The 24,753-nt window shown below is 45.5% G+C and overlaps 1 protein-coding gene across 32 annotated transcripts in view, besides 4 other annotated features; it reads left to right on the top strand.

Annotated features, from left to right (window-relative positions):
- Positions 1-24,753, top strand: part of MYT1L (myelin transcription factor 1 like) — a 542,163-nt gene that overhangs the window by 342,760 nt on the left and 174,650 nt on the right. For all 32 annotated transcript variants that reach the window (NM_015025.4, NM_001303052.2, XM_011510326.2 and 29 more), the window contains 3 exons: positions 8,739-8,793; positions 8,962-8,995; positions 9,289-9,351. In NM_015025.4, the coding sequence (NP_055840.2) occupies positions 8,739-8,793; positions 8,962-8,995; positions 9,289-9,351 (152 nt within the window). The remainder of the gene's footprint in view (positions 1-8,738; positions 8,794-8,961; positions 8,996-9,288; positions 9,352-24,753) is intronic.
- Positions 966-1,623: an enhancer, noted in NCBI's record as "OCT4-NANOG-H3K4me1 hESC enhancer chr2:1990665-1991322 (GRCh37/hg19 assembly coordinates)". NCBI's record gives its function as "activates a minimal SCP1, AML or CMV promoter by ChIP-STARR-seq in naive H9 embryonic stem cells {active_cell/tissue: H9 hESC(naive)}" and the evidence as "EXISTENCE:reporter gene assay evidence [ECO:0000049][PMID:30033119]".
- Positions 1,624-2,282: an enhancer, noted in NCBI's record as "OCT4-NANOG hESC enhancer chr2:1990006-1990664 (GRCh37/hg19 assembly coordinates)". NCBI's record gives its function as "activates a minimal SCP1, AML or CMV promoter by ChIP-STARR-seq in naive and primed H9 embryonic stem cells {active_cell/tissue: H9 hESC(naive and primed)}" and the evidence as "EXISTENCE:reporter gene assay evidence [ECO:0000049][PMID:30033119]".
- Positions 13,943-14,443: an enhancer, noted in NCBI's record as "H3K4me1 hESC enhancer chr2:1977845-1978345 (GRCh37/hg19 assembly coordinates)". NCBI's record gives its function as "activates a minimal SCP1, AML or CMV promoter by ChIP-STARR-seq in primed H9 embryonic stem cells {active_cell/tissue: H9 hESC(primed)}" and the evidence as "EXISTENCE:reporter gene assay evidence [ECO:0000049][PMID:30033119]".
- Positions 22,572-23,093: an enhancer, noted in NCBI's record as "H3K4me1 hESC enhancer chr2:1969195-1969716 (GRCh37/hg19 assembly coordinates)". NCBI's record gives its function as "activates a minimal SCP1, AML or CMV promoter by ChIP-STARR-seq in naive H9 embryonic stem cells {active_cell/tissue: H9 hESC(naive)}" and the evidence as "EXISTENCE:reporter gene assay evidence [ECO:0000049][PMID:30033119]".

Here is a 24,753-nt window from a genome sequence, read left to right as displayed (position 1 = left end):
GCCACAGTGTCTTCCAAAGCCATCCAGTGAAGGGGCTGCCACTGACAAGGAGGAGTTCGAGAATATGAAGACACTGAAATCTGGAGAGCCAGCAGAGTAGACGGAGGATACTGCCCACTACAGGGCCCTGGAAAGCACATGCAGAGATGTTCAGAGCCACGTATCATCACGGGCCCACCTTCCACCCACCCAGCATGGTCAGGCAGCCCTGCTGTGTGCCCGGCGCTCCGCAGGAATGGGAGGTGCAGGCGGGAATGTGGCACATCTCCACCCCGGAGGTGCAGCTGGGCTGGCAGGAGGGTTGGAATGTGGCACCGTTTCCACCCTGTAGGTGCAGCTGGGCTGGCGGGAGGGTGGGAATGTGGCACCGTTTCTACCCTGTAGGTGCAGCTGGGCTGGCGGGAGGGTGGAGGTCTCACAAGCACATGAAGATAAGACCAGAGTTATTTTAAAGGCATGTGCAAAGTCTATGGAAACTTGTTTGGAGCAACTTTCAGGAAGATCAAAGAACAAATTACTCCAAGAGCAGAGATGAAACGCAAAGAAATTATTAAACATTGACCAAAAGCTCACGTGCTAGAGGACAGCTTCAGGGGGAGTTGGTACATTCTGAACCTTTGCCACATACAGTTCCAGTATCTACCCAGGACCCATGAACGTCCTGATGAGCCATATTCTGAGTCTTGAGGCCCAGCATGGGAATGTCACTCCTGTAACAATTACATACCCCAGAAGCATCAACTGAGGTCTGGCTTCTCCAGGATGCTCCAGAGGTCCTGGGACTTCAACGTCTGCTCTTTCTCTTAGACTCAGTCATCCTCATGGGCAGAGAGCAGGGGACCCAGGGAGCACCTGCACTCCCCACGCAGCCTCAGCTCACTGTTGCTAGGTCCAGCTTCAGAACCAGCTTGGAACAGATGGAGAGCAGCAGACGTGAATCCCTGAAGCAGGTGGGCAGGAGGCATAAGCCCAGAAAGGAATGGGCATGAGGGCCCCAGACTTGAAAGCTGTGGTGTGGGGTAGCACATGCCCCTCCCATGGGAACGCTGCCCCTCCCATGGGAACACTGGCTGCCCCTCCCATGGAAACGCTGCACCTCCACTCCGGCCATCTGAGGCCAAGAGAAATTTAGAGCAATGCTTTCAGATCATCATATTTTTCCAGAAAGAAAAAAACAAAAAACAGAAAAAAAAAAACAAAAAAAACAGAAATCAAGGTTTTGATATAAAGCCTGGAGATTTTTAGATGTTAGTCCAATTTGTTAAGCACCAAGAACCCGATGGAACAGTTCTAAGTGGCTGGGTATGAGCCCCTGGCCATGAGACTGTTCGGGTACCCCCCAGCCCTAAAATTCTGATTCTTTGAATTTTCTCCCAGAACTTGCTGGCAAGATAAAGTAATGGAGAAGTCATAAGAAACACATTCAAGTTTAGAAAATCATATTTTAAAATGAAAATAAGGATCTATTTTCTTATTTTTATGCTCAGGGCTGAAACAACATCTATTTTACCAACAACAACAACAAAAATAGTTAAATTCTTGAAGGGCACCTGACTTGATGTTTCCTCTGAAGTTCTGGAAGGGGTGCCTTCCTGCCCAGCCATTCCTTGATGTAAAAGTAGGTATCACGCTGTGATTGGAAATGCAACCATTACATCTGAAAGAGGCTCCAGCTCATCGGGTGTCAGCTCTTAGTGTGAACAACAAAGCTTCACCACTGCTTGCACAGCATCTGACGACCCCCTTGGCCTGAGATGAGGCCTCCAAAGTGAAGTGAGGCCTCTCTCTTCCTGGCCCCTAGCGCTTCCCCAAAAGTTCTTCTTGTGGGTATTTTGGGGCTTCTCTGCTGTTATCGTACATGACGTAAATTGGGCAACCTGTTTTTCATGGATATAAAACTGCTAGACCATCCTTTTTTGAATAAAATCAAATGTAAATTATTTTATGAAAGCATCACCACTGCCTCGATTACCCTGTAGACATCTTCGAAGCCTTTGAGACTTGGTTCAGGTTTGGTTTAGTTTCAAATGTTCCATTAGCTTCCCGGCTCAAACATGATGGGAGGAAACCCTTCTTGGGCCAGGGAATCCCAGGATTTTCCCAGAGCAAATACCCTGAGGCTTTTTTTGAAGCTCTGAAAGGCTCCTTGCTGACTTCTGGCTTAACGTCCAGTGATCCCAGGCCGCCTGACCAGCATTCCATTGACGTGGCATTCCCACCATGCATGTGGAAATAGAGGCGTAGGTGTCTTCTGGCTGCATGTGGAGTGGATATTTCTTTGAAACTTTTTATTTGTATTGTGAGAATTTTTTAAAACTGTAATAAAATTATTAACAATGTAGCTGACCAAGAGATGCATTAGTACAATGTAATTAGTTTATTCATTCACTCACTTAACTGAAATTTACAGGCATCTACCATGGGCCAGGCACTTTTCCGTCAGGACGTCCACCTGCCTGAAAGATAGGATCCTATATTTTGACAACTTGCTTTTCCTGTATTCAAAAGGCTAGTGGCTGAGTGCACTTCCTATGGCTGTCCTCCCACCTCTGTTGGGTCCAGCTCCCAGCTCTGCACCCTCACAACACACACAGATCTGAGGGAGAGGCTGGGGGCACCCATTGAGGCACAGGCTGGTGTGGTGTCCTTGGTGCCGTGCTCGAATTAGTGCTATCCTGGGTGGTCGCACTCTCACAAGTTGGCTCTGTCAAAATGATGGAGCTCCCCTCTAGGGGGCCTATTACAAGACATCTTTATTGCAACCTGTCATCATTTTGATTGCTATTTTCTTAGGATTTGTAGCGTGATTTTTAAAGTGTTTGTCTCAAACTAGGCATAGAAGTCTATTAAGCATTCAAACTATGCCATTTAGAAGGATTTATTTTTAGGGTTTCATGATAATACGTGTTGTTGTCATTCTCTGTTTAAACATTTTTGAAGGATGACTAGAAAATATAAGTTATGATTCTTGCTAATCTTCATAGATGTATTTTTAGGAGCCCAAACTTGCTGGAGTCAGAATTGAGACGTGGAGGTATTTTCTATGACGTAGGGTTTTAGAAGGCTGACCAGCTCCCAGCTGCCTTGGAAAGAGTAATTCCTAGGAAGAAGTGCTGTTGGGAAAACACCTGGATATGGCTAGACATGCACACCTGCACTGCCTTCTGCCAGGACTTCCAGTTTCTCTTCAACATTCCTTCCCCGAGCCTTCCTTACCCCTCACAGAGGCTAGGACTGATCTCTGGCTCCTGCCCTCCCTCCTATCTCCTCTTCTTGATGCTGCTGACAAGCAAAGAATTGACCAAGCGAATTGAGCAGCAGGAGCTGAAAGGCAGGGTCTGGCTGGTTGGCAAAATGGAAATTGCTTCCTGGTTAGTGGAGGAGTGACTGTGGCAGGGAGGGAGGCCTGGAGCTCAGGTTCTGGTGTCAAAGTGGGAGCTGTCCGTAACCCAGCCTGCAGTCCAAGCCCCCATGTCCTGTTCCTGCAAGAGGACTCTGTCGGGGAGGGGAGAGCAGGTCCCTGTGGCTAGAGACTCGGGTTAGGAGGACCTTGCTGGTCTCTGGCAGACCTGGGACCCAAAGTGAGCTCCTCCTGGGTTCACAGTTATGGCCTAATGTGGTACTTGACATCAGAAAGCAGCCACTGAGGACTCCAAGGGATTTTACTGAGTTTATGAAATTTTCGTGCATTTAAAATATTAGTTCTTGGCCAGGCACGGTGGCTTGCACCTGTAATACCAGCACTTTGGGAGGCTGAGGCAGGTGGATCACGAAGTCAGGAGATTGAGACCATCCTGGCTAACACGGTGAAACCCTGTCTCTACTAAAAGTACAAAAAATTAGCCGGGCATGGTGGCGGGCGCCTGTAGTCCCAGCTACTCGGGAGGCTGAGGCAGGAGAATGGTGTGAACCCAGGAGGCGGAGCTTGTAGTGAGCCCAGATAGCGCCACTGCACTCCAGCCTGGGCCACAGAGCAAGACTCTGTCTCAAAAAAAAAAAAAAAAAAAAAATTAGTTCTTGGCCAGGTACCATGGCTCACACCAGGGATCCCAGAACTTTGGAAGGCAGAGGCAGTAGGATCACTTGAGTCCAGGAGTTCAAGACCAGCCTGGGAAACATAGTGAGATCCTGGCTCTACAAATAATTGAAAAGATTAGCCAGGCATGGTGGCACACACCTGTAGTCCAGCCACTCTGGAAGTGGAGTTCGAGGGTGCAGCAAGCTATGATTGTGCCACTGTACTCCAGCCTGGGTGACAAAGTGATACCCTGCCCCTAAATATATGTATCAAATATATATACATTATAATCTCTTCACTGAGGCTCAACTTGAGGAAAGCATCCCTTTTATTGGAAGGAAAAGAGAAGGAAGATCATAGTACTAAAATAAATCCTGAGTCCAAATGTAAAGTTTTCATATTAGGAAATAATTCACCTGCTCTCTCTTCATGAATCACTCCTGACAGCTTTATTGGCTCAAAATAGATTCCTTAAATTCAAGACTTTTCTTTAAGTATAAAACAAATTTTAAATCTTAGAAAACGTCCTTATTTTAAAAATAAATATTAGACTTCAAAATAAAAAGAATTACTGCTAAAGTGGAGTTTTAAGGGTGATTTTCTAAATGTAAATTACTGGAGAGGTAATCAGAAACCCAAGCAGTGATAACTGAGGTGAACTTTCTCCAGTTCCAAGGAAGATCAGAGCTGATGTCTTAGAAAACGCGACTGAGCCATTCACGGGTTCAGTAAGTGAAGCTCGCAGTTCCAGCCCTGGGACCACCAGAAGAATGAATTCAAATGAACGGTTTAAACGCCTGAGGCTGCCAATGACAGTCGCCAGTGGTGGGCAGGCCCTGGGTGGAAGCAAGCCCAAGCATTCTTTTCAGGCGGGTAGGAGAGAAGGGCAGGGCAGGATGGAGGGGCTGGGGAGTCCTGAAGAAACAAAGTGTGAGAGTGCCGGCAAGGGCCAGCTGCCTTAGGACCACACACCATCAGGTGCACACATTAGAAAATGAAAACCTCCTGGCATTTCAGACCATACGTTTTATGCTTTCTGCTTAATTTGAATCTTTCTGGCAATTGGCACTTATTAAACAGCTATGTAAATGTAAAATTTAAAACAGCTTTTGAAACCCTTCAGATTTGGGTTTCATTGGCTGAAAGGGAAAGAAAGGGGAACCCCATCTGTTTAGTGTCTGCTCCATGTGGGGTGCTGTGCTTGGCATCTTTCATAAATTATCTCCTGTAATGCTCATAGCAAAGGCCCTTGTTCAGCAGAGGAAAACACACTGTAGAGCCACCATAATCCAAACAGGATTGCACTGGAAGGAACCGACGGAGGAGGGAACAGAGAGTCTGACCCAACTGTGGCAGGAATTTCACATTCAGCAAGAGGAATATTTTAGTGTAGGGAGGGAATATGATTTATTTAATAACTGATTACTGGAAGAATTAGCTATCTGACTGGAAAAAAAATAAGTTTGCCCCTATATGCATAAAAAATACTGAAAGGATGAAGAATTTAATTGTAAAAATAAAACAATTCTTATCCTTATCCAACCATATGAGCAGTTAGCTAATAAGGCCAAGTTTTTCTATTTAATGCCCACAAAGGAAAACTAGCTTTACTGCACTTCTGCTCACAGGTGCTCCCCTAAACTACAGCAAGAGAAATCATAAATGTGGGTTTATTCACGAGATGCTGGATAAGGGTAAGCAAGCTGGGTGATGACTGAGTGTGACTGGCCCCTGTTCTGCTGGAAACTTTGAGAATTCTGTGCCCTACTGAAGGGAGCTCATAGCCAAGCTCGGAGTGTGTCTCTCCCACCCCAGCCCCAGCTTTGTCTCTCCTGGAACACACCTGTCTCTCCAAGCCTTTGGGTCTTTACACGTCCTGTTCCCTCTGTGAGGAACACACCCTCACCACAGTTTTTCTTTTTAACCTGAAACATCCAGTTAACTTTTAACATTCAGCCCAAATATGAGTTCCTCCAGGAAATTTCTTTCTTCTTCCTAATCCTCATCCAATGGAATGATGGAATGGAATCCATGGAATCCAATGGAAGCCTCATCCAAACTTCCACTACACCCCCGGAGAATGTTTCTCAACTTATAGGCCTTCATTAAATGTTTTAATTCAATTTTGAATTCCTTAAAGAATACGATTTTACCCCATTATCTCTGCATCCCCAGACCTGTGACAAAGGCAGGGGACCCTGGGAAATGCCATTTCTCGTGGATGTGAATGGCCTGTGACAAGGGCAGGGGACCCCGGGAAATGCCCTTTCTCATGGATGTGAATGCTGTTTTTGCCATTGCTTTAGGCTTCTTGACTCTCAGTTCATCTCTGCCTCATGTCACTTTGGCCCTAGATCACTTTGCTAGAATTTTCTGGTGTTTTGAAGTGTTTTCATGTTGAATAGCAATTTCAGAGCATTGATGTGTTCCTCATGGTGCTATTTAGTTAAATGTCAAATCCACGTGATGTGGCCCCAGAGTTTCATATCCCAGGTATATCTTTAAATCACAGGAAAGGGCAGAAAACCCAAAAGCTGCCTGATGAGCCATTGTGTTGTGTGGATTCTTCCATCAGAAAGTTTTTTAAACCCATTTCTTTCTTTCCCAGACAATTATGTTCCCGAATTGGCTGACGATGGGACTAAGCCACAGATGCTGTTGAGGCCACTGCCCAAGCCCTTTCTTCTTAGGCGACTGCCAGTCTCCTCCCAGCTTGCTCCCAACTGCACTGCCTGCCCCCTCCATGCCCTCTCTCAAGCTGCCGTTAACTTGTTTTTTTCTAAAACATGTTTGCGACTCGTCCTCCCCATGCTCAAGAAAGGCCAGCAGCTGTCTATTCAGCTGGACCAGCGGGGCCTCCCGGTACATCCCTTCCAACACTGCACGTGGCCCTGGCTCAGGCCCGTCGTCTGCACCGTCTGATGTCGTCTTTCCAATATTCCACTTCAGGCACCTCCTTGACCTGCAGCATTCCCAGCAAATGGACTCATTCATTCATTCATTCACTCAATAACTGCATATCAAGCCTCTAGATGCCAGTCATAGAGACAGTCTCTTTTCCTTCCTTTCACACCTACACAAACAATTCTCATGGATCACAGCTTTCCCCGAGCATCTTTCCTTGGCTTCCACTTCCCATTGGCCCCTCCTTTGCTGAAGTTTTTGTTTTGGTATTAAATCTGGCACATCATTATGTCCATATATAGCCCATTAAGAGATTTTTAAGCTCATTAAATGAGCTTATGTTTTTATTACATGTATGATTTTATCCCCCGATACCATAATACTCATCCATAGTATTCATCAATAAATAGCTGCTGGTTAGTTGCTATAAACATTAAATCAGGCACTGTCCATGTGGATTTCTGATGCCTTTCATACTGTACCTGTTGAGTTGTGCCTTGCTAGTTTATTTCAGCGGCAGATCTACCCTGTTCTTTTCTGGAGTGTGCCTCGAATAGAGCCACAGGCATCTAATGAGTCTTCTTCACTCAGTCCCGATGTTCTTCCTCTAAACCATGGAGGAAGTGGCTTTGGTGTGCCCTGTGAGCCGGTGTAGAGGCCATTCAATGGGGCTTTGGCCAGCTTCTATTGCTCATCTCTTCTTAGCTCCCCCGTCGTCTTGAGTAGAGTTCTCCTGCTATCCAGTTTGCCATGTGCAAACACTTCCCATACTGTGGGAATGTTTGGTGAACAAACATACTCGTATATATTTACCACGCAACAGCATGCTCCTGAGGCTTAGTGGAAACAAAGACAGACATGTGATTTTTGGTCCTTACTCCAAAACCTTCAACTCAAACCATCTTGGGTAACTCAGGTGGTCTGAATTTTAGTTTTCTCATGTATTAAATAGGTATAATAAAAATACTTTCCTTACAAAATTGTTGTGAAGATCCCACAAAGTAATATATAAAAGCATTTGTAATGTCTCAAGTATAAGATGTGTCAGTTCCTATGAGTGGAAGGTCTAGATGCCTCAAAGGAAACCAAGCAATTTAGATAAATGTGGAGGACAATTGCATTCCAGGAACTAAACAACATTGAGAGCGCGCCCCTGATGGTAAAACGTGTTCTTCCACTGTACCTACAGCCTCTTGTCTTAACCGCTTAATCAGATTAAAACTTTCAGTTACAAGGAGAATCTAAATATTATATATATATGTGTGTGTGTATATATAGATATAAATATAAACTATATATTATATATAATGTATATATAATATTTAGATTCTCCTTGTAACTGAAAGGTATATATATACAAAATATATATGTTATATATATAAATATTTGTTTTTATATATACATAAGATATATAAAAATACATATATATTATATATATTTACCTTCTTATAAACCTAATGGCTGTTATATTCTTAGTACAAAGCACAACTCAGAAGCACACAGATGTGTCTCCATCAAATTCTTGAAAAGAGAGTAAATAGATGGTACTTCAAGATTCATCAAAATCTACCCCATTATAGAGGACAAGGGCCTCCTGATTAAATATTCCCTACAAGGTTAAGGTCTGTTTATAATTGTTTGAGTAATACATTTAGATTGCCTGGTCTTACCCCCTGCCCTTGTAGAGGGCTTCCCTTCATGGAGGGAAACAGGATTAAAGCCCCATTAATAGAATGCCAGGGAGAGTGAGCCGCCCCTGCAGGGCTGGCCTGCACAGGCAGGATAAGCACATTGATGGCTGCTAATCTATCCCCAGATGGAGGTGGACACCGAGGAGAAGCGGCATCGCACGCGGTCCAAAGGGGTTCGAGGTATGTCCGCGCTTCCCTGCATCCTGAGGCCGGCTCAGGGTCACCTTCATCCTGCGGAACTGAGGTCGATTCTGACCCCACTTTCATGCCACCCTTTTGGTAATTTTCTGTGGAAGAGGGTCGCTTGTGATAGATGGTAAATTTTTATCTATTTCCATCTCTCTGCAGTTCCCGTGGAACCAGCCATACAAGAGCTGTTCAGGTTAGTGCCATGTGGGTAAAATGCATCCCCATTAACAGTTTGGAAAATTCACGCCTTCTAATGGGCACACTGCACCTTCCAGCTCATCGGCAGCTTGCTCACGCCCTGCTGCACTGATGAAATTAATTCCCCCGAGACTTGCTCGTAAAAAGCCTCCCCGAATTTCCCCCTCCTTTGGATTGTGTGATTTCTCTCCTCTGTCTGAGCCGCCCTCCTTCTCTCTGCTGCCACGGAAGCTTTCCGTCTCACCTGCCTGCCTGCGGCACCGTGTAATCCATTCTTTCCTGTTGCAGCTGTCCCACCCCTGGCTGTGACGGCAGTGGTCATGTCAGTGGCAAATATGCAAGACACAGAAGGTAATGCCTGCATTTTTTTTTCCACAATGTGCTGTCTAAAGTGACTTATTTGGGGACCCAGTCCTGATGATGAACTGTGTGAGCAGGTGTTCTTGGAAAGCAATACACATTATGCCTTCTTTTTCTTCTCACACTGGAACTCAGTCTTTGTCTCTTGAAAGGGTTCTCAAAACATAAGCCGTTCGATCTCGTGGGCAGAATAGGTGACACTCCTTAGGATGACACAAATTCAGGCCAGCCTTAAGCTCATGTTCCCATCTGCATATGTGGTGCTCAGCACACGGCCACCTAAGAACTTCCCACTGCTCACCGAGGAGCCCAATTTCTCCTTCCTCACGTCCTCATTCTGGGAGTGGCAGGATGGTAAACAATGAACGGTCAATTAAAATGTGACCTGCTGACCTGTCTGTAGACTCCATTTCCAGCATTTAACGGGGTTCATCCTGGGAAACTAAGCCCATTCTTACATCTGGACGGCTGCAGGGTGAGGTCAGGTCAAGTGAAGGTCAGGGCATATCAAGCTTGCAAGACTTTGGAACTGCAGTGATTACATTAATCTTATAAATACCAGCATTTCAGGTCTGCGACAGGGATGGGGTGGAAAACCTTTAGAAACTAAGGGGAAGGTGATGATTGCTCAAAATGTGTCATGGCAGAATTATATGTTACATGCCCGTGGCTGACTGTCAGGTACACATCAGTCCTTTAGATGTTTTTCTGGTAAGCATTTTTTCCCTAAGCTATTCATGAAGATGTGTCTTTCAATAGAAAGGTTTCAATTATAGTGAGGTAAAAGAGTTTACAGGCTAAAGTATGTTTTACTTTTACAAATTAGATTGCAAAGACCAAGGTCATTCCAGCCTAACAAACCCTCAGTGAGCAGACCCAGGTCACAAAACTGATTCTAAAGCGGGTGCATCTGCCGCACATCTGGGAGGCCTCTCCTCACGGCCTTGCATTCCATTTCCTTTTTAGTGAAACATTAGCTTACGAGTGACATCCAGCAATTATTTTGATTGTTCTTTAGTAAAATCAAAGGAAAAATTACAAATTACTCCCAAATCCCCATTCTAGCATTTGTGGAGGCAAGAATGTCTAATGAGAGACCCCACGAAACAATTGTCTGACTTCCTCTGTTACAGATCAAAGGAATTGTGGGCTATTTTTCAGATAATTTTGCAATTTCAATTATTAAATTTAGTCAATTACATTATGATTGTTATTGTATAAAATAGTAAATTATTGAATTACATAATTGAAATAAGTAGTTTACTTAAAGTATTATTTTATGAAGAAATATATATGTCAGCATTTAATCTAAAAGTCTAAAACACTGCATTGTTTATGTTTTCAAAAGAAGTTAGTCACCCATGAGAAAAATTCATTTTCCCCTAATCATCTCTTCATTAGTCAGTAGTTAAACTTTATCACACTGTTATATAAAAATTAAATTTGGCTAAAAAGTTTCTTAAAATGTTTATTCTAATTTTTATGTGTACATAGTAGGTGTATATACTTAGGGGGTACATGAGATATTTTGATACAGGCATACAATGTGAAATAATCACATTGTGAAAGATGGAATCTTCATCCCCTCAAGCATTTATCCTTTGTGTTACAAACAATCTAAATATCCTCTTTTACATATTTTTAAAGGTACAATTATAAAAAGTTGTAATGAGGTGTGAGCTAGATATAATTTTATAGCCATAGTTTTGCAGGAAAAATCGTGACGTTTCCAAATAATTTCAAGCATTCATATGCTTAACCAAGGTGCATTTCACTAAGAAATGAATTTATGTGTCCCATGTAATGTGTGTGTGGATCTGTTCATGAGATCTCTTTCCCTGCTTCAGAAATGTTCCCTAGAGTTTGATTTGAAAACAAGTTGGGCTTTTTCTTCCTTCGGAAACTTGCCACTGACTCATTAGTGCAGAAGTGCCTGAGTCTCAGAGGAACCCATTCGCTGGGATGTTAGGGAGGAGTCATGGAAGCTCTCGGGCCAAGAGCTGTTTCCAATAAACTTTTGCTTAATTTTTTAAAAATCATCATTTTTACCATGGCTCATATGGTATGTAATTATTAGAACACCAAATATTTTAATGCACTCAGTTATCTAGAACATCTAATGTGGTATAGTTGAAAAAGAACTATTTCCCGGTTACTTGGCCCAGATGCTAGCTTCCACTACATCACTAATGGACCAGTAGCTCTGGACAACTTACGTAACGTCTACAGCCTTCAGTTTCCTCTGTTCTAAAATAAGAGGGTTGCAGACTTTATTATGTAAAACGGTGCAAAAATGTTGTCACTGTGTGAGCCTTCTCTTAAGAGGACTCTCACTGAGCGTTTTCTAAGCCTTATTATTTGATGTCTATGTATCAAGAAAAATTTTAATTTCTTAAACTTAAGAAGTGTCCCTTGATGTATTAGGTAAGACTCATGGATATATTAACATCTATGACTATTGCTGTTTTAAATTTGGAAATTTTCCGTTATATCTGCCTGGTTTTTTGTTTTTTTGATATGGAGTCTCACTCTGTTGCCCAGGCTGGAGTGCAGTGGCACAATCTTGGCTCACTGCAACCTCTGTCTCCTGGGTTCAAGGTATTCTCATGCCTCAGCCTCCAGAGTAGCTGGGATTACAGGCACCCGCCACCACACCCAGCTAATTTTTGCATTTTTAGTAGAGACAGGGTTTCACCACATTGGCCAGGCTGGTCTCGAACTCCTGATCTCCGGTGATCCGCCCGCCTCGGCCTCCCAAAGTACTGGGATTATAGGCGTGAGCCACCTCGCCTGGCCCTGGCATTGTTTTTTTACTGGTTTTGAAAGATTTGCTGACTATGAAAGCTATCCCTTCCTGACAGCTATTCTTGCCCATTCATGCCGGCACACCCTCTGTGAACACAGCTGTGATGCTGGCATTTGCTGTCAGGTTCCTGATGGGAATAGGACACCAGGCTTCTTCTAAATAGGACAAAAGAGTAGAAGCCTCCGTTTTGGTTCTGATGAAATTACATGTCTTTTTTTTTTTTTTTTTTTGGTCTTTTAACAATAAATGTTTCCAATGAATGTGTTTATGTTAAGGTTACAAGTTCATTTTGCTCATACACTGCATCAGCAATAGCCAAGTAAAAAGTTGTATTTCAGTACTTTGAGGTGTTGATGTATTGGAACTTGCCAAAAACAACTTGAGGTAGATGTAGGGCATCAGCAATGTAAAAAATCAATTTTTCTTTTTTAGGAAAGGAATACCAAGTAATAAAATGATGCCAGCCATTTAGTTTAGTTTTGTTTTGAGACAGAGTCTCACTCTGTCACTCATGCTGGAGTGCAGTGGCACAATCTAAGCTCACTGAAACCTCTGTCTCCCAGGTTCAAGTGATTCTCCTGCCTCAGCTTCACAAGTAGCTGGGATTACAAGTGTGCGCCACCACGCCCAGCTAATTTTTGTATTTTTAGTAGAGGTGGGGTTTCACCATGTTGGCCAGGGTGCTCTCGAACTCCTGGCCTCAAGTGATCCACCCGCCTCAGCCTCCCAAAGTGCTGGGATCACAGGCGCATGCCACCACACCCAGATCATTTTTGTATTTTTAGTAGAGATGGGGTTTCACAATGTTGGCCAGGATGGTCTCGAACTCCTAACTTCAAGTGATCTGCCCACCTCAGCCTCCCAAAATGCTGGGATTACAGGCATGAGCCATCATGCCCAGCCTGCCATTTAGTCTTTAATTTTCAACATAAGAGATTTTTAAGGAAATCAAATGTTTCTCACAATTGTAGTTTACAATTTTATTGCTTTGTAGGACAGACGCTATGGTAGTTTCTGGGGGCCATACGTCACCCTCTCTGCCACAGCTGCGGGATCTGCTGTGGGTCTCAGAAAGCTGTGGGATCTGGCAGTGGGATCTGGCAGTCTGTTTGGTGAGCCACGCCTCCTCAGTGGTGTTCTGGGTCTCTTTGAAAGTGGCTGGAGTGGATTTTTTTTTTAGTGTGATTGTTGTATAGTTACGGGCTTGTACGAAATTGAGAATAGAGGAGGATCAACCAGTGCTTAATACCTGGGAAAGAAAATAATTTTAAAAAGGAGTTTATGATTTAAAACTCTGGTTAAAATTTTTTGGTAGGAGTAAGGTTATAATATTTATTTTATTGGATGTTCTACATTAATTTCCAAATCCTGTCTTTGAACAAAAGATAATCTCTGTAGTTATTTACTGGTGTTAATAGTTTATGAAGAATTTGAAATAACTGATAAGCCTATGTACAACTACAATGGTAAACCTTAAATCAAAATATAAATTTGGAACAACATAAGGAAAATGATCACCTAATTTTACTGAAAACTCAGGATACATCGGGGGTCTTAATGTGGTGTTACATTTTGTTCTGGGTCTCTTGGCTACCAAGGAACCAGTGAGAAAGGCGAAGGACAGAGTTCCAGGATCTGATAAAAGCATTAAGTCAGCTCCTTAGAGACGCAGACACTCTTGGCAGCGAAGGAAAACTGTTTCCATCCCACACATTGCCCAGCAGGGATCCAAGCTTACTCAACATTTTTGGGCCCTGATACAGGTCATCAGGCCAGACCTCCTAGGAAGCTAACAAATATGACAAATATTTATCTTCAGAAACGTCATTATTAGCCAGTCACCTGAATTTGCCTTTTGCTTTTCCCAACTGAGGTTTTTGTCTTGTGATATTAGCATATAAATGACAAAAACACGGTGAATTTTATAAGCAGGGCTAGAAGTAATGCTTACATCACGAGTGAACGTGCTCATGTGGTCTTTCCTGCACATGGTCACCTGTGTTTCTGCGCCCATTGTTAGATGGCTGCACACGTGGCTCAGCCCATTCAGCTGCTCCGAGCACCTCCATGTTCCCCACACCACACTCAGAGGTGGCCGGGGGCACTGGTGCCTCAAACCTGGTGTCCAGCCACCAAGCTCACAAAGCAAACCTCAGTCATCCTAAGTGAGTATCCCAAGATTTAGTTTCGGTCCCCAATATCAAGGAAGAGTAAGTCCCTGTGTTGCAGTCTCCCAACTGTGCAAGTCAGCCTGGTGTGGCCTCCAGGCATTTAAAACATGGAAGACAGAAGCTGTCCCGGTGTACCGTCCGCTATTGTTTTGTGGATAGATGGAAGGAAAACAGTGGCCTACTAGGAAGTCACCAACCTTGACATTGAGGAAGCTGCTGCATATTCTTCTCCTCACCCTCGTAGCAGTTTGCTGGCTGGGAAGGCCCCGTGGAGATAAGTGGGGTGAATCTGCCCAAAGTGCGTGGTTTGAGCAACGCTGCATTGGTGTGGGAGGCCTGGGGAGCTGCATCTGCTGCTACTGAGCTCATTGCCTAATGCAGACACCTGAGCAGGGGAAGCATCACGGGGTGAGGCCTGGAGGCTCAGCATTTCCTGGCAGCATCCTCACACCAAAGCCTGCTATCTCCTGAAGGGCAGGGATACATTGAAAGAAACCACACCTTCCTCTCTGTCTGTGTAGGTGATTGTTTAGTGGGGCTCAAGTACCTGCTAAAGAGACGTTGTTATTCATCCAGAATATTTCATGAACTGATGCTGGCATTCCAGCTAAAATATCGCATGTCAACATGTCTGCAATAATCTATTTTTGAACATTTGACTAAGATGAAAAATTCTAGTGCCTTATATTCAGGTTTTTTTTGGCTTTGCATGTTGATATAAAATACTGTTTGTGTTAAAAACAAAGTGCAAGTTAGTGGTTAGAATGGAATCTATAGAAACGAAATTTAATCATCAAAATAATGGTCAACTTGCTGTTCTGAAATCCTTTTTCCTAAAATTTCCCAATAAAAATTAGAAATAGGAATAATCAAAATTTGTTAATATTTATTACAGATTACTATTAACTGATTACAGAAATTTGAATTTTAACCTTCCTTGCAACAGTGATACACATGCTAAGACATTTGGAATGAATTGGACACACTTATTTCCAAATGGTGATTTTTGTATAAGCTGCCAATTCACCAGAGAGAGAGAGAGGAAATTCCTAGTAAGGCCTCATTCCTCACATGTCTGTTTTGTGATCCCTCTGAATTTATTTCTGAAATGTAATGGATTTTATTCCCATTTAACCTTCACTGGACTGTTTTAATGATTTGTTTGTTGAACTTAGGGTTCCAACCCTGCAATTTAGCATCAGAGTCTTTGTACACTCAATAAACACCCGAAAGTTAGGTGATGGGTATTGGTAGTACATTCAAATCCTTCCCAATGTAGGGTACACTGAGTCAAATCATTTCATTTGAAACTTAAAAATTAAAATCTCCAAGTGATGGCTTTTCCTTTTCATTAGAACATGACTGGGGTCCCTCTGGCTTGCGGCACACACCCTCACTCAGACCCCCTCTCCATTCCGCACGCCTCTTGCCTGCCAGTGTGGGTGCCATGGCACAGCGTGGTGAATAATTGCCTGTCTTCACAGGAGGCTGTTCTGGAGCTAAAGTCAAGGGCTTGCTTCCTGATGTATGCACGCCTCATTTGGAGTCTGCCAACAGCCTAGGGGCTGTATTATTCATGCCTTGACAGAGAGCACTCACTAAAAGCCCTGGAACAGAGCCAGGTGCTGGCTGAGAGATGTGGAGCATTGCAACTTGCAACTGAGAGGAGCATCTATAATCCAAAAATAAATAAAAAAAGAAGAAACAGAGAGGAAGACAGAGAGAAAAATAGGAGTTCCTATATCTCCCCTTTACCAGTTTCACATAGATAGAAATTTCATTTGCATTAAAATAAAATATCCTAAAAATAATTGCATTTTTTTCTAACCACGCTTGAAAGTTTAACACAATTTTCCACATTTAATTGCAAAACTGATTTTAATTAGTAAGGCCCTGCATGTGAAAAATGAAGATCCACTTGGGTGCGTGGAATACATTGCAGTGTCTGCTGAATGCTCTAATTAACGTGTGGCTGCTGTACAATGGGGTACACTGTGGGATATTTATGAAAAATTCTGTGCACGCAGCCTCCAAACCAGGCTATCTGTGCTTTACTCCATGAATCCGTGAGAATAAATAGCTCTCCTTCATTCTTTATGAGACACATTGTGTACGCCTCACCCCCACACCCTCCCCGTAAGCTTTATGCACGCCCGTCCTTGTACTATTCATCACTGATATTATAAATCAGAAGATAGGGCATGCATATTATAACATTAGTTTGATAGCATGGCATAGTTGCACATGGAGCCAAGATTTTGAGGTCTAGGGGTTTACTTGGGTGAAGAAGAGAATCAAACAGGTGACGTCCAGGCTTGCTGTTGCTCAGAGGCCTGAGTACCCATAGGATTTGCAGACACAAAATTCAGGCCTGAGTACCCATAGGATTTGCAGACACAAAATTCAGGCCTCCTCTTTTGTTTTTTCTTTTGTTTTGTTTAGTTTTTTGAGATGGAGTCTCGCTCTGTCGCCCAGGCTGGAGTGCAGTGGCACGATCTCAGCTCACTGCAACTTCCGCCTCCCAGGTTCAAGCAATTCTCCTGCCTCAGCCTCCTGAGTAGCTGGGACTACAGGTGCATGCCACCACGCCTGGCTAATTTTTGTATTTTTAGTAGAGATGGGGTTTCACCATGTTGGCCAGGTTGGTCTTGAACTCCTGACCTCAGGTGATCTGCCTGCCTCAGCCTCCCAAAGTGCTGGGATTACAAGCATGAGCCACTGTGCCCGGCCCAAAGCCTTCTCTTTTGGGTGGTGGTTGCAGTCAACCTTTATTGTCACAGTAAGTCTTCTGTGTACAAAATGAACACCTGGCCATCATCCTAAAGAAAGTAGTTTGCCTGGTGCCTGTCTGTAGTGCGTCAGCCCCAGGAGACACACCTCTGGGCATGGCCTGTGTTGTTGTATTGTGAATGCAACATGATTAATTCGGTGGATTTAATACATGCAAAGCATGTAATGCATCTTAGAGCATGATTTTATTTATTTTAATTTTTTTAAAGGGACAGAGTCTCACCCCGTTCCCCCAGGCTGGAGTGCAGTGGCCTGATCATAGCTCACTGCAGCCTAGAACTCCTGGGTTCAAGTGATCCTCCCACCTCAGTCTCTCAGAATGCTGGGCTTACAGCTTATTTTTGACATTTGGTAAAAGGAGATATATTTTTTAAATAATTCCAATTCAAGGAGAAGGAACATAGTTATTTTCAGATAGGGCACTGAAAACAATAAGTATACTGATGAACAGTCTGTAATGTATATGACCTGTATTGGTCAAGGCCAGATTTCACAATTATAATCTTGTTCTGATTTCTTGAACTAATAATTAAAAAATATACAATTTGGGAACTTGGGAACATCAACAGAATACACAGAAGAAATTTGCGTGCAGTACAGCTGTTGTCTGAGGTTTACCCACTGAAACACCACAGTTCAGTTCTCACCACCCTCATCCATGTGGGGATTCTAGAAAAGGCAGGGCAGCCGCTATGGAGATCTTGAAGTGTGGAGAGAGGGAGTCCTGATGTGACAGTGGCCCAGCTGTGCAATTCCCCGCAGCCACAAAGCACAACCACAGAGCCCCCGGGAACCCTGAGCCAGCTCTCTGCCCTGTGTGCCTGGAGCCTCTGCCGACCACGGGATGCCCCTCTCATGGACACCATGAGCTCCTCTGTGGAGATCTCTGTCCATTGCAACTACTCAGGGGTGTGCACCCCACTCATTAGAGAAGCAAGGATGGCTGGTGAGATGGGGGCTGGGGCTGAAAGTATGAGAGTCCTCTCACCACACCCATCTAAGCTGGCTCAGAAGACTATCCTGGGTACAGTGAGGGCCTGGAATCTGCACTCACGGCAAATACTTCTGGAGTAGCCAGGTTCATGAGCATCGCTGGGACCCGGCTCTTCGAGTCCCCTATCTGGGGCTGTCCACCTGCTCTTATTACCAGTGTCACTCACAGGCACAACTTGAGGAGAGCGGGCAGTAATCATGAGGACCCTCCTGAGTCCGGCTCTGGGAAGTGGATGTTTCTTCTGTCCCCTCTGGCCTGCCCCAAAGAGAACAGCGCTTTCAGGGTTAGACCCCAAAATAGGACTGAAACGCCAATTTCCATATTCTCTTCCTGCCAAAATTAGTAAAGATTTAGAGGAAAGAAACAATCCCCTGGTCATAACGTTGCTTCAATAAGATACTGGTGTTTTCATCTGGAAGATTCAGTGTGACTTAGGATGCTGCTGCCTGCAGTACCTGGAAACCCACCTCAAACTGGCCTGAACAACACCGAATCACTGTCTTTCCTGAACTGCATGTTGAGAGGAAGTGCCGAGGATGACTTAACTCAGGCCTTCTGCTCCATCCTCCTGCACCTCCTGCTGTGTTCACCTCTGTTGTGGGAGAAGGCTGTGGCCACTCCTGGCTGGACAGCTGCCCTCAGTGTCCAGAGAGGGCTGCAGGAAGGCCTTTCTGGAAGCTCCCTGAAGAAAAGAGGATTTACAGAGATACCAACAACCAGGGTCCCACAGCCATTCCTGAGTGCCACTGACAAGCAAGTCAGACATCCTCAGAACCTTTAAGCCCCGTCCAGAGTGGGAGGCGGGGCCGCCTTCCTAGAGCCGGGGTTCCCCAAGTGGGGTTCCCTGATCCAGAACATCAGCGTCACCTGGGACCAGCTAAGTGAGAAGCTAAGGCTGGCACCGGCAATCTGGGTTTTAGCCACCCCTCCAGAGGGTTGATTCTGATGCTGCCTGAGTTTGAGAATCGTGGCCAACAAACAGGCCTGGACTCCTAATGAGACAGCATTTTTAGATAATGGGAACAGGAGGAATTTATTCTGGGTGAGCAACTCACACACAGAGCCAACGGCATAGACAAATCTGAAGACCAGCACGCATTCTGCCTGCAGCTCACAGACCTGGGGTCCGCATAACGGTGGTGGGGCGTTCCCACAGCTCCTCCCACCTGCCCGCATCCCCCGCCGGGGCCCAGCATCACTGTAGTCCTGCTTCCAGTGCCTTCACAGGGTGAGAAAAAGCCAGTGGTGCTGGAGGGTGATTTCTAATCAGGGACTTCTGTTTCACTTCTGTTCATACCGTGGACTGATGTAGCTGGCAAGCAAGGCAGTATTTAAGAACTGTGCAGGAGGCTATATTTTTCTGAGAAAGGGACAGCCGCTTTGGAGTGGGGTGAGGACTATGGGGCAGCAGCTTCTCTGGACTCAGCCTGGCCTGCTCTGGGGTGCCCCAGAAGCACCTAGGGGGCCAGGCCTCTGCTGCACACGCAGGAGGGGCCCAGAGGCTCTGGGTCACTCAGAGCCGCCCCCGCCCACCTGCCATCCACATATCCCCAGTGGACAGGATGGGGTCTGAGAGAGCAAGGCACTGTGGCCGCCTGGCTGTGTGTGCCGTGCAGCCTCTGCCTAAAGAGAGCCCAGTGAGGAGCCAACCACAAAGGCGACCCAGAGACCCTGTAGGATCCTAGGGCCCTCTTTTACCCTTATTCAGAAAGGACTGCCTGGGGGCCTGGCAGGCTCTGTGTGAGCCTTCGCAAGCCTCTGGTTGCATCCTTAAGATAAACGCACCCTCTGTCTCCTGCTGAGGGAAACTGAGCTCCCCCTACATAATACAACAGATTTTAAAAGATCCGTTCCTTGTAATTCGGTAGCCACTCTGCAGGGCCGTGAATATTATCTAATGCACTACTTGACATCGCCAGACACAGGCTTCCTATACACGTGGATGCATTTCCTGAAACTCTAGGGAGGAGAGGAGGGGGAAAATGAACATCTTGGAAGAAATTTTATTCATAAATAATACATAGCAATTCAGCGATGCCTGGATCACCTTGTTATTCCCTCGACCAATCCTGCGGCTTCTCACGCTTCTGAATGAAGTGCAGACGCTCTGGGGAGCCAGGAAGGGAAGCGGGCATGCGGAGAGGGCAGAGGGTAGTGAATCCTAATGGCTGCATTTATCGTCAGGAAGGCTGGAGAGTCCAGAGCTTTAGTCCAACCTCAACGGGGATAAGATCTGAGAGCAGAGAGTGGTGCTGCTAGAGGGGCCCAGCTGCGGGCCCTGGGGCTGGGCTTCCCTGAGCACCCTGGACACAGCCTCCTTGCCACTCCTTGCCAGGTGGGTGGAGTTGACTGTGTCCAGGAATGCAGATCTTGGGCCTCTCCTCTCTTTTCTGCCCCCTCCTCCCCTCCTGGGGTGCAGTGAGCAGGGAGCAGTGCAGGGGCCCGAGGAAGCTCCTCTCCTCCCAGGCTCCCTGAGGACACACAGACAGCAGGACTCTTTGCGGAAGTGGAGTCTAGGCTCCTGCCCTCCCCTGCAGGAGGCCCTTCTGGTAATAACAGCAACGTCCCAGAAGCACTCGCTGTTCCCAGGCAGGGCTCGGGGCCTGCGGCCTCGCTGCACCTCGTCTCGCCTGCGCAGCAAAACACCCCCTCTTTGGCCACACCCTCCCCCCATCCTCTTCCACCCTGGAACGACCTTTTCTTCCTCCAGCTCCAGTCAGGCCTGAAGTCCCTGCTGCAGCTGCGCAGAAGGCACTCATCACATTATTAGAATAAGGTGCACCTGCTTTGAGTGACTAATGAACTGAACTTTCCCTGAGGCCAGTATGGTTTTGGCAGAGAAGCTTCTTAAATTAACCCAAATTGATTTCTAATAAAGGAGGAAAGGGGGAGGATGTGAAGGCGCAGCAAAGGAGATTCCGGGGCTGAACCAGTGAGTCAGGGCCCTTTAGCACGCGTTCACCCCGGGCCGTCTCCCAGAGGGCGCATCTGGGTACATCCCCAAATGCAGGGAACTCTGAAGCCTGGACAGGCCAGGTGGGTACTGCCCCAGGGACGCAACCCCACTCACAGCACAGGGCTCATAGGGAAGAGGGCACCAACCATGGGGCTTTTCAGTATTTGAAACACTTTAGAACCTGAAAAGCTAAAAAGGAGTTTGCTTCTTAAATGTTCTTCACTGATTCTCCCAGAGGATATTATTGGCAATAGAAACCAAAAGAAATACATTGGCTCAAAGGCTGCTGAGGATTAAAGCGAGGACTAGAAATGATGAAAGAACCCATAATGCAGATGACAGCCTGTTATTAGTATCTGTTGTCACAATTCATCCGTGTAACCAAAAGCCACTTGTACCCCCAAAACTATGAAATAAAATTAATTTTAAAAAAGAAAAAAAGTTACTGGTGGTCGTTGCTTCCCAGTATCAACACATCTAGCTAAAAAGTGAGAAAAAAAATAATCTATTGTTTCAAAGTCACAATGTGCCATTCGTCCAGGGCATTGGTAACCACTGCTAGATTTTTCCTCTGATTTTTTAAGACAGTTTTGCTCTTCTTTTCTGAATTAGTCTCATATGATCGATGTAAATTTTTTTGTATTTTGTATTCTTTTTTTTTTTCACTTAACATTATAACATGAGCTTGTTTCCAAATACCCATTAAATGTTTTAGTTTTAATTTTCATGGCTGGCTTTCATCCTGTGGCTGTAATGTTATTTATGCAATTCTTTTATTGTTCAAATGTATTTAGTTTTCATAAAACATCTCCATATTGTGCATAAAGTGGGAAAAGTATCTTTGCAGACAATGTTTGTGTCTTTTCGTTTCTTCCCTGGGATGAATGACCAGGAGGAGAATTGCTGGGGTGAGGGAGGGGAGGGCATGGAGGGTTCTGTTTCCAGAAGAGCCTCTCTCCAGGAAGATCAGACCTGTTTACACCCACATCAATGGAATCAAAGGATGTCCCTGTTATCCTACTGTAGATCATAGAGAATATAACGATTTTCAAATTGCTTCCTTCTTATTCAAAACCGGAATTGTCTTGTTTTTAAAACGATCGTTTTTAAAGGAGTGATCATTATATTTAACAATGCCTTTGCTAGAAAATTCTGGAAGAAAGAGTGGTGAGTAAGTCAAGCGATGCCTGTTTCTTCCTGTGAATGATCTCGCTCACTCAGCGTTAGAGGAGCCCCCTGCCTCCCAGGCTAATCCTGGGCATGGTTTTTGCCATAGCTGAATAAAGGAATAGGCCACCAGGCAGAGGTGATGCTTCCTGCCAGGCAGAAATTAGAAAGCACTGATCTCATGCCCCTCTAGGGGTGTCAGGGCCTCTTGTTCCCAGCACAGGAGCCTGAAAGGGGAGCTAGGTGGCCAGACCCCAGAGCCAGCAGGCAGAGCCGCAGTGCAGGCCCTAGGGCGTCGTGAAGCAGGCAGTCCTGGTGCCCTCACAGGGCCACCCGGCACGTAACTGTCTCACACGGGTGCTTGGCAGCCTCGGATCTGTGAGCAGTTGCTCTGCATGCCAGGCAAAGCCTTTCCCTGAGTCCCTTGTCCGCTGCCCAGACAGGGCCACTGAAAAGCAGCAGCAAGCTCTGGGCATCTGTGCATCCCCCTGTCCGGCTCTCCTGAATCCTGAATCAGCCCGCGGTGCCCACATGCATTCGTGAGGCCTTGGGTTTAAGGTCAGGATGATGGCGGGGCCTTCATCTGCCCAGTCACCAGCTATGATGCCAAAAGGCAGAGGGATGGCCTACTCTCTTCTCTGGCTTCCCGCGTGTGAAAAAGGGACATGCCAGGGCAGGGGCGATGGGACCCCTCTGTCTCCAGCCTACCCCATCCCTGATAAACTCCAGGTTCCTCCAAACAAAGCGTTCATCTTTTGCAAGTCACAGAGTGCCTGGGTCCTCCTCTTTCCTGCCTGGTCCCTGCAAGTCACAGAGTCTGAGTCCTCCTCTTCCCTGCCTGGTCCCTGCAAGTCACAGAGTCTGGGTCCTCCTCTTCCCTGCCTGGTCCCTGCAAGTCACAGAGTGCCTGGGTCCTCCTCTTCCCTGCCTGGTCCCTGCAAGTCACAGAGTCTGGGTCCTCCTCTTCCCTGCCTGATCCTTGCAAGTCACAGAGTCTGGGTCCCCCTCTTCCCTGCCTGGTCCCTGCAAGTCACAGAGTGCCTGGGTCCTCCTCTTCCCTGCCTGATCCCTGCAAGTCACAGAGTGCCTGGGTCCTCCTCTTCCCTGCCTGGTCCCTGCAAGTCACAGAGTGCCTGGGTCCCCCTCTTCCCTGCCTGATCCCTGGGTCTTGGGAACAGTCCCCAACTGTGCATAGTAGTGCTGCTGGTGACCGGAATACTCTGGTGAATTTAATTTTCTGGGCACTGATGATTTGAGAGCTCTCACAGCCATTTTCACCCCAGGCAAATGGAGAATGGCTCTCCTAGAACAGTGAGGATTGCTTGGTGAGTGCTGCTTGTGGCGATTTCCTGTACCCACGGCTGTCAGTCTTCCTTGCCCGTGACCCCAAGCTCCTTGTCAGCAGGGGCCTTGTCCCAGACACCTCAGACCTGCCTCTGGAAGCCTTTCCGGAAGCACAGACACCTGTTTAGTGAGTGTTCCATGACAGGGAAACTGTGCAGGCTGGAGATAAGGAGGGCTCTGAGGATCACTCTTTGTACCCAAAGCCCTGAAATTTATATTATTCTTAGGTCCTTAATGCAGTCTGTTGTTTTTTAAATAGTATCTAAAAATGTATAATAACACAAAATAAATCTAGTTAAGATTTTTTTTAAGTAGAAAATTTTACCCTTGTTTTTCTTTGGATCAAAGAATAAAAATAAACAATTCAAAGTATTTTGGAGGCGTTTTCTTAGAGCAACTTTCGCCATTACAGGCACACCCTGTTTATTGCACGTTGCTTTATTGCAGTTTGCAGTGAAGTTCTGATTTGTACAAACTGAAGGTTTGTGGCAACCCTGACCATACAAGTCCATCAATGCCGTTTTTCTAACAGCACGTGCTCACTCAGTGTCTCTGTACCACGTTTCAATAATTCTCGCAATATTTCAAACCTTTTCATTATTGTTATGTCTGTTATGGCGTCTGTGGTCAGTAATCTTTGATGGTACCACTGTGATTGTTTGGGGACACCAGGAACCGCGCCCGTGTAAGACAGTAAACTTAATCCGTAAATGCTGTGTGTTCCAACTGCTCTGCCAACCAGCCAGTCCACCACCTCTCCCTGCTCCTCAGGCCTTCCTATTCCCTGAGACACAATAATATTGAAATTAGGCCAATTAACAACTCTACAATGGCCTCTAAGTGTTCAAGTGAAGAGAAGAGTCACACATCTCTCACTTTAAATCAAAAGCTGGAAATGCTTAAGCTTAGAGAGGAAGGCGTGCCAAAAGCCAATATTGGCCAAAAGTTAGGCCATTTGTGCCAAACAGCCGACTTGTGAATGTGAAGGGAAGGTTCTTAGAGGAAATTAAATTGCTACTTTAGGGAATACACAAATGATAAGAAAGTGAGAGAGCCTATTGCTGAGTAAGTTTGAGCAGTCTAGATAGAAGATCAAACCAGCCACAGCATTCTCTAAAGCCAGAGGCTACTCAGAACAAGGCTGTAACTCTCTTCAGTTCTGTGA

Source organism: Homo sapiens, chromosome 2 (assembly GCF_000001405.40).
Source record: "Homo sapiens chromosome 2, GRCh38.p14 Primary Assembly".
NCBI lineage: Eukaryota > Metazoa > Chordata > Mammalia > Primates > Hominidae > Homo > Homo sapiens.
The sequence above is the reverse complement of the archived record's forward strand: the minus strand, read 5'-3'. Positions and strand labels throughout refer to the sequence as shown.